This window comes from Homo sapiens, chromosome 16 (assembly GCF_000001405.40).
Source record: "Homo sapiens chromosome 16, GRCh38.p14 Primary Assembly".
Taxonomy (NCBI): domain Eukaryota; kingdom Metazoa; phylum Chordata; class Mammalia; order Primates; family Hominidae; genus Homo; species Homo sapiens.
The window spans coordinates 34,096,339-34,105,655 of record NC_000016.10 but is presented as its reverse complement, the minus strand read 5'-3'; the positions used below and the strand labels follow the sequence as shown (position 1 = coordinate 34,105,655).

At 40.5% G+C, this 9,317-nt stretch overlaps 2 annotated features.

Annotated features, from left to right (window-relative positions):
- Window positions 5,976-6,816: an enhancer, noted in NCBI's record as "OCT4-NANOG hESC enhancer chr16:33901307-33902147 (GRCh37/hg19 assembly coordinates)". NCBI's record gives its function as "activates a minimal SCP1, AML or CMV promoter by ChIP-STARR-seq in naive H9 embryonic stem cells {active_cell/tissue: H9 hESC(naive)}" and the evidence as "EXISTENCE:reporter gene assay evidence [ECO:0000049][PMID:30033119]".
- Window positions 7,146-7,769: an enhancer, noted in NCBI's record as "OCT4-NANOG hESC enhancer chr16:33900354-33900977 (GRCh37/hg19 assembly coordinates)". NCBI's record gives its function as "activates a minimal SCP1, AML or CMV promoter by ChIP-STARR-seq in naive H9 embryonic stem cells {active_cell/tissue: H9 hESC(naive)}" and the evidence as "EXISTENCE:reporter gene assay evidence [ECO:0000049][PMID:30033119]".

Sequence of the window (9,317 nt, the reverse complement as noted above, 5' to 3'; positions counted from 1 at the left end):
CTGTCTGGTTTTTATGTGAAGATAATTCCTTTTCCACCACAGGCCTCAAAGCACTACAAATGTCCACTTGCAGATTCTACAAAAAGAGGGTTTCAAACTGCTCAATCAAAAGTAAGTTTCAATTCGAAGAAATGAATGCACACATCACAAAGAAGTTTGTCAGAATGCTTCTGTCTAGGTTTTATTTGAAGATATTTCCTTTTCCACCATAGGCCACAAAGTGCTCCAAATGTCCACTTGCAGATTCTACAAAAAGACTGTTTCAAAGCTGCTCAATGAAAAGTAAGGCTCAACTCTGGGACATGAATGCACATATCAAAAAGTAGTTTCTCAGAATGCTTCTGTCTAGTTTTTATGTGAAGATAGTTCCTTTTCCACCATAGACCTCAAAGTGCTCCAAATGTCCACTTGCAGATATTTCAAAAAGAGTTTTTCAAAGCTGCTCAATCAAAAGAAAGGTTCAACTCTATGAAATGAATGCACACATCACAAAGAAGTTTGTCAGAATGCTTCTATCTAGTTATTATACGATGATATTTCGTTATCCACCATAGGCCCCAAAGTGCTCCAAATGTCTACTTGCTGATTCTACAAGAAGTGTGTTTCAAAGCTGCTCAATCAAAAGAAAGTTTCAACTCTGCATGATGAATGCACACATCACTTAGAAGTTTGTCAGAATACTTTTGCCTAGGTTTTATGTGAAGATATTTCCTCTTCCACCATAGGCCACAAAGCACTTCAAAAGTCCACTTGCGGATTCTACAAAAAGAGTGTTTCAAAACTGCTGAATGAAATTTAAGTTTCAATGCTGAGAGATTAATGCACACTTCACAAAGAAGTTTGCCACAATGCTTCTGTCTAGTTTTTATGTGAAGATATTTCATTTTCCACCATAGGCCTCAAAGCGCTCCAAATATCCACTTGCAGATTCTACAAAAAGAGTTATTCAAAGCTGCTCAATCAAAACAATGTTTCAACTCTGTGAGATGAATGCACACATCACAAAGAAGTTTGTCAGAATGCTTCTGTCTAGTTTTTATATGAAGATATTTCCTTTTCCACCATAGGCCTTAAAGCGCTCCAAATGTCCACTTACAGATTCTACAAAAAGAGTGTTTCAAAGCTACTCAATCAAAAGAAAGGGTCAACACTGTGAGATGAATGCCCACATCACAAAGGAGTTTGTCAGAATGCTTCTGTCTAGTTTTCATAAGAAGATATTTCCTTTTCCACCATAGGCCACAAAGCGCTCCAAATATCCACTTTCACATTCTACAAAAACAGTGTTTCAAAACTGCTCAATGAAAAGTAAGTTTCAACTCTTTGAGATGAATTCAAACATCACAAAGAAGTTTGTAAGAATGCTTCTTTCTAATTTTTATGTGAAGATCTTTCCTTTTCCCCCATGAATAGTGAGGTTCAACTATGTGAGGTGAATGCACACATCACAAAGAAGTTTGTCAGAATGCTTCTGTCTAATTTTTATGTGAAGATATTTCCATTTCCACCATAGGCCTCAAAGTGCTCCAAACATCCACTTGCAGATTCTTCAAAAAGAGTGTTTCAAAGCTGCTCAATCAAAAGAAAGTTTCAAGTCTGTGAGATGAATGCTCACATCACAAAGAAGTTTGTCAGAATGGTTCTGTCTAGTTTTTATGTGAAGATATTTCCTTTTCCACCACAGCCATCAAAGCGCTCCAAATGTCCACTCGCAGATTCTTCAGAAAGAGTATTTCAAAGCTGTTAAGTGAAAAGTAAGTTTCAAAGCTGTGAGATGAATGCACACATCACAAAGTAGTTTGTCAGAATGCTTCTGCCTAGTTTTTATGTGAAGATATTTCCTTTTCGACCATAGGCTTCAAAGCACTCAAAATGTCCTCTTGCAGATTCTTCAAAAAGAGTGTTTCAAAACTTCTCAATGAAAAGTGAGTTTCAACTCTGTGAGATGAATGCACACATCACAAAGAAGTTTGTCAGAATGCTTCTGTCTAGTTTTTATGTGAAGATATTTCCTTTTCCCCAGTATGCCTCAAAGGGCTCCAAATATCCACTTCCAGATTCTAGAAAAAGAGTTTTTCAATGCTGCTCAATCAAAAGAAAAGTACAGCTCTGTGAGATGAATGCACACATCACAAAGAAGTTTCTCAGAATGCTTCTGTCTAGTTATTATATGAAGATATTTCGTTATCCACCATAGGCCTCAAAGCACTCCAAATGTCCACTTCCATATTCTACAAAAAGAGTGTTTCAAAACTGTTCAATGAAAATTAAGTTTCAAAGCTGTGAGATGAATGCACACATCACAAAGAAGTTTGTCAGAATGCTTCTGTCTAGTTCTTATGTGAAGATATTTCCTTTTCCACCAGAGGTCTCAAAGTGCTCCAAATGTCCACTTACAGATTCCAGAAAAAGAGTATTTCAAAGCTGCTCCATCAAAAGAAAGTTTCAATTCTGTGAGAGGAATGCACACATCACAAATAAGTTTGTCAGAATGCTTCTGTCTAATTTTTATATGGAAATATTTCCTTATCCACCATAGGCCTCAAAGTGCTCCACACGTCCACTTGCAGATTCTACAAAAAGAGTTTTTCAAAGTTGCTCAATCAAAAGAAAGGTTCAACTCTGTGAAATGAATGCACACATCACAAAGAAGTTTGTCAGAATGCTTCTGTCTAGTCATTATATGAAGATATTTCGTTATCCACCACAGGCCTCAAAAAGCTCCAAATATCCAATTGAAGATTCTACAAAAAGAGTGTTTCAAAACTGCTCAATGAAAAGTGAGGTTCAACCCTGCGAGATGAATGCACACATCACAAAGTAGTTTGTCAGAATGCTTCTGTCTAGTTTTTATGTGAAGATATTTCCTTTTCCACCATAGGTCACAAAGTGCTCCAAATGTCCACTTGCAGATTCTACAAAAAGAGTGTTTCAAAGCTGTTCAATCAGAAGAAAGATTCAACTCTGTGAGATGAATGCACAATTCACAAAGAAATTGTCAGAATGCTTCTGTCTAGTTTTTATGTGAAGCTATTTCCTTTTCCACCATAGGCCTCAAAGCGCTCCAAAAGTCCACTTGCAGATTCTACAAAAAGAGTGTTTCAAAGCTGCTCAATCAAAAGAAAATTTCAACTGTGTGAGATGAATACATACACCACAAAGAAGTTTGTCTGAATGCTTCTGTCTAGTTTTTCTGTGAAGATACTTCCTTTTCCACCACATGCCTCAAAGTGCTCCAAATATCCACTTACAGATTCTACAAAAAGAGTGTTTCAAAGCTGCTCAATCAAAACAAAGTTTGAACTCTGTGAAATTTGGAGTGCTTTGAGGCCTATGGTGCAAAAGGAAAAGTCTTCACATAAAAACTAGACAGAAGCATTCTGACAAATTACTATGTGCTGTGTGCATTCATCACACAGAGTTGAACCTTTCTTTTGATTGAGGAGTTTTGAAACTCTCTTTTTGTAGAATCTGCCAGTGGACATTTGGAGCGCTTTGAGGAGTATTGGGGAAAAGGAAATAGCTTCACATAAAAACTAGACAGAAGCATTCTGATGACCTTCTTTCTGATGTGTGCATTCATTTCACAGAGCTGAACATTTCTTTTGCTTGAGCAGTTTTAAAATACTCTTTTTGTAGAATCTACAATTCGACATTTGGAGGGCTTTGTGACCTATGTTGGAAAAGGAAATATATTCACATAAAAAGTATACAGAAACATTCTGAAAAACTTCTTTCTGATGGGTGCATTCATCTCACAGAGTGAACATTTCTTTTCGTTGAGCAGTTTTCAAACACCCTTTTTGTAGAATCTACAAGTGTACATTTGGAGCGCTTTGAGGCCAATGGTGGAAAGGAAAATATCTTCACATAAAAACTAGACAAAATCATTCTGAGAAAATTCTTTGTGATGTGTGCATTCATCTCACGCACTTGAAACTTTCTTTTGATTGAGCAGTTTTGTAACACTCTTTTTGTAGAATCTGCAAGTGGACATTTGGAGCACTTTGAGGCCTCTGGTTGAAAAGGAAATATCTTCACATAAAAACTAGACAGAAGAATTCTGAAGAACTTCTTTGTGATATGTGCATTCATCTCACAGAGTTGGACCTTACATTTGATTGAACAGTTTTGAAACACCCTTTTTGTACTATCTGAATATGGATATTTGGAGTACTTTGAGGCCTATGGTGGAAAAGGCAATATCTTCAAATAAAAACTAGACAGAAGCATTCTGACAAACTTCTTTGTGATATGTGCATTCATGTCACAGAGTTGAACCTTTCTTTTGATTGATCAGCTTTGAAACACTTTTTTTTGTGGAATCTGCAAGTGGACATTTGAAGCACTGTGAGGCCTATGGTGGAAAAGGAAATATCTTCGCTTAAGGACTAGACAGAAGCATTCTGAGAAACTTCTTTGTGATGTGTGCATTCATTTCACATAATTGAAACTTTCTTTTGATTGAGGTGTTTTGAAACCCTCTTTTTATAGAATCTGCAATTGGACATTTCGAGGGATTTCCTATGTTGGAAAAGGAAATATTTTCACATAAAAACTGGACAGAATCATTCTGAGAAATTTCTTTGTGATGTGTGCATGCATCTCACAAAGTTGAACCTTTCTTTCGATTAAGCAGTTTTGAAACACTGTTTTTGTAGAATCTGCAAGTGTATGTTTGGAGAGCCTGGAGTCCCATGGTGGAAAAGGAAATATCTTCACAAAAAACTAGACGGAATCATTGTGAGAAAACGCTTTGTGTTATGTTCATTTATCTCACAGAGTTGAACCTTACATTTGATTGAGCAGTTTTGAAGCACCCTTTTTGTACTATCTGCAGGAGGACATTTGGAGTGCTTTAAGGCCTATGGTGGAAAAGGAAATATCTTCACATAAAAACTACACAGAATCACTCAGACAAAATTCTTTGGGATGTTTGCATTCCTCCCACTGAATTGAACCTTTCTTTTGATTGGAGTAGTTTGTAAACTCTCTTTTTCTAGAATCTGCAGGAGGACATGAGACTTAAGGAGTGCTTTGAAGCCTATGGTGGAAAAGGAAATATCTTCACTTAAGAACTAGACAGAAGCATTCTGAGAAGCTTCTTTGTGATGTGTGCATTCAACTCACAGAGTTGAACTTTTCTTTTGTTTGAGGTGTTTTGAAACACACTTTTTGTAGAATCTGTAAGTGGACATTCGGAGTGCTATGAGGACTTTAGTGGAAAAGGAAATATCGTCGCAAAAAAACTAGGCAGAAGAATTCTGATAAATTTCTTTCTGCTGTGTACATTCATCTCACAGACCTGAACCTTTCTTTTTTTTGAGCAGCTTGGAAACACTCTTTTTGTATAATCTGCAAGTGGATATTTGGAGCACTTTGTGGCCTATTGTGGAAAAGGAAATATCTTCACATAAAAATTAGACAGAAGCATTCTGAGAAACTTCTTTGTGATGTGTGCATTCATCTGACAGAGCTGAACCGTTCTTTTGATTGAGCAGTTTTGAAACACTCTTTTTGTGGAATCTGCAAGTGGATATTTGGAGCTCTTGAGGCCTATTGTGGAAAAGGAAGTATCTTCACATAATAACCAGACAGAAGCATTCTGAGAAACTTCTTTGTGATGTGTGCATTCATCTAACAGGGTTGAAACTTTCTTTTGACTGAGTAGTTTGGATATTGTCTTTTAATAGATTCTGCAGAGGGAACCTTGGAGCACATTACAGCTTCCTGAGTATAAGGAAATATCCTCTCATAAAAACTAAACAGAAGCATTCTGAGAAACAACTTTGTGATGTGTGTGGATTGGAGTGGAATGGAATGGAATGGAATGGAATGGAGTGGAGTGGAGTGGAGCGGAGTGGCATGGAGTGGAGTGGAATGGGATGGAGTGGAGTGGAAAGGAGTGGAATGGATTGGGATGGAATGGAATGGAGAAGAGGGGAGTGGAGTGAAGTGGAGTAGAATGGAATGGAATGGAATGGAGTGGAGTGGAGTGAATTGGAGTGGAATAGAATGGAAAATAATGGAAAGGAATGGAATGGAATCAAACATAATGGTACAGAATAGAATGTAATTGAATGGTGAAATGAAATGGGAGCTGAGATTGTGCCACTGCACTACAGCCTGTGTTACAGTGTCAGATCCTGTCAAAAGGAAGGAAGAGAATGGAATGCAGTGGAATGGAATGGAATGGAGTGGAATGGAGGGAGTAGAGTGGAGTGGAAAGGAGTGGAATGGAATGGGATGGAACTGAAAGGAGTGGAGTGGACTGGAATGGAGTGGAGTGGAGCGCAGTGGAATTGAGTGGAGTGGAGTAGAGCACAGTGGAATGGAATGGAATGGAATGGAATGGAATGGTAAAATGAAATGTGAGCTGAGATTGTGCCACTGCACACCAGCCTGGGTGACAGAGTGAGATCCTGTCAAAAGAAAGGAATGGAATGGAATGGAATGGAGTGGAGTGGAGTGGAAATGAGTGAAATGGAATGGGATGGAATGGAAAGGAGTTGAGTGGACTCGAATGGAGTGGAGTGGAGTGGAATGGAATGGAATGGAATGGAATGGTGAAATGAAATGTGAGCTGAGATTGTGCCACTGTGCTCCAGGCTGGGTGACAGAGTGAGACACTCTTGAAAGAAAGGAATGGAATGGAATGCAGCAGAATGGAATGGTATGGAATGGAATGGAGTGGACTGGAGTTGTATGGAGTAGAGTGAAGTGGAGTGGAGTGGAATGGAGAAGAATGGAATGGAATGGAATGGAATGAAATGAAGTGGAGTGCAGTGGAATGGAGCGGAGTGGAATGGGATGGAGTGAAATGAAGTGGAGTGCAGTGGAATGGAGCAGAATGGAATGGGATGGAGTGAAATGGAGTGGAGTGGACTGCAGTGGAGTGGAGAGGAGTGGAATGGAATCAGATGTAATGGAATGTAGTGGAGTGGAGTGGATTGGAGTGGAACGGAATGGAATGGAAAGGAACAGAATGGAACGGAACGTAATGGAGGAATGTGTGCTGAGATTGTGCCACTGCACTACAGCCTGTGTGAAAGAGGGAGATCCTATCGAAAGAAAGGATTGGAATGGAATGGAATGGCATGGCATGGCATGGCAAGCATGGAATGGAATGGGATGGAATGGAATGGAATGGAATAAGCGTGCTCAGGTTGTGCCACTGTGCTCCATGCTGGGTGACAGAGTGAGATACTCTCAAAAGAAATGAATGGAATGGAATGCAGGGGAATGGAATGGAATAGAATGTAGTGGACTGGAGTGGAGTGGAGTGGAAAGGAGTGGAATGGAATGGGATGGGACAGAAAGGAGTGGAGCTGGACTGGCATGGAGTGGAATGGAGTGCAGTGGAATTGAGTGGAGTGGAGTGCAGTGGAATGGAATGGAATGGAATGGAATGGAATGGTGAAATGAAATGTGAGCTGAGATTGTGCCATTGCACACCAGCCTGGGTGACAGAGTGAGATCCTGTCAAAAGAAAGGAATGGAATAGAATAGAGTGGAATGGAATTGAATGGAGTGGAGTGAAGTGGAGTGGAAATGACTGGAATGGGATGGAATGGAAAGGAGTGGAGTGGAGTGGAATGGAGAGGAGTGGAGTGGAATGGTTTAGAGTGGGGTGGAGTGGAGTGGAGTGGAGTGGAATGGAATGGAATGGAATGGAATGGAATGGAATGGTGAAATGAAATGTGAGCTGAGATTGTGCCACTGCGCTCCAGGCTGGATGACAGTGAGATACTCTTGAAAGAAAGGAATGGAATGGAATGCAGTGGAATGGAATGGTATAGAATGGAATGGAGTGGACTGGAGTGGAGTGGAGTGAAGTGGAGTGGAGTGGAATGGAGAGGAATGGAATGGGATGGAATGAAATGAAATAAAGTGGAGTGGCGTGGAGTGGAGTGCAGTGGAATGGAGCAGAATGGAATGGGATGGAGTGAAATGGAGTGGAGTGGACTGCAATGGAGTGGAGAGGAGTGGAATGGAGTGGAATGGAATCGGATGTAATGCAATGTAGTAGAGTGGAGTGGAACGGAACAGAACGTAATGGAGAAATGTGTGCTAAGATTGTGCCACTGCACTACAGCCTGTGTGACAGAGGGAGATCCTGTCAAAAGAAAGGAGTGGAATGCAATGGCATGGCATGGAATGGAATGGAATGGAATGGCATGGAATGGAATGGAATGGAATGGCATGGCATGGAATGGAATGGAATGGAATGGCATGGAATGGAATGGAATGGAATGGAATGGAATGGAATGGAATGGCATGGCATGGAATAGAATGGAATGGAATGGAATGGAATGGAATGGCATAGAATGGAATGGAATGGAATGGAATGGCATAGAATGGAATGGAATGGAATGGAATGGAATGGAATAGGCTTTCAGGTTGTGCCACTGCACTCCATGCTGGGTGACAGAGTGAGATACTCTCGAAAGAATGGAATGGAATGGAATGCAGTGGAATGGAATGGAATGGAATGGAATGGAATGGAATGGACTGGAGTGGAGTGGAGTGGAGTGAAGTGGAGTGGAGTGGAATGGAGAGGAATGGAATGGGATGGAATGGAATGGAATGAAGTGGAGTGGGGTGGAGTAGAGTGCAGTTGAATGGAGCGGAATGGAATGGGATGGAATGGAAAGGAGTGGAGTGCACTGGAGAGGAGAGGAGTGGAATGCAGTGGAATGGAATCGGATGTAATGGAATGTAGTGGAGTGGAGTGGAGTGGAACGCAGTGGAATGGAATGGAATGGAATGGAATGGAATGGAATGGAATGGAATGCAATGGAGTGCAATGGAATAGAATGCAGTGCAATGGAAAGTTGACATGTAATCTGAGCTGAGATTGTGCCACTGCACTCCAGCCTGGGTGACACAGTGATATCCTTTCAAAAGAAAGGAATGGAATGCAATGGAGTGAAATGGAATGGAATGGAATGGAATGGAATGGAATGGAGTGGAGAGGAGTGGAGTGGAGTTGAAGGGAGTGGAATGGAATGGAATGGAATCAAATTGAATCGAAAGGAATGGATTGGAATCAAATGGAATCGAATCAAATGGAATCAAATGGAATGGAATGGAATAGGAGCTGAGATTGTGTCACTGCGTTCCAGGCTGGGTGACTGGGTGACATACTCTCAAAAGAAAGGAATGGAATGGAATGCAGAGGAATGGAATGGAATAGAGTGGACTGGAATGGAGTGGAGTGAAGTGGAATTGAGTGGAGTGGAATGGAATGGAATGGAATGGAGTGGGATGGAGTGGAATGGAGTGGAATGGAGTGGAGTGCAGAGGAGTGGGGTGAA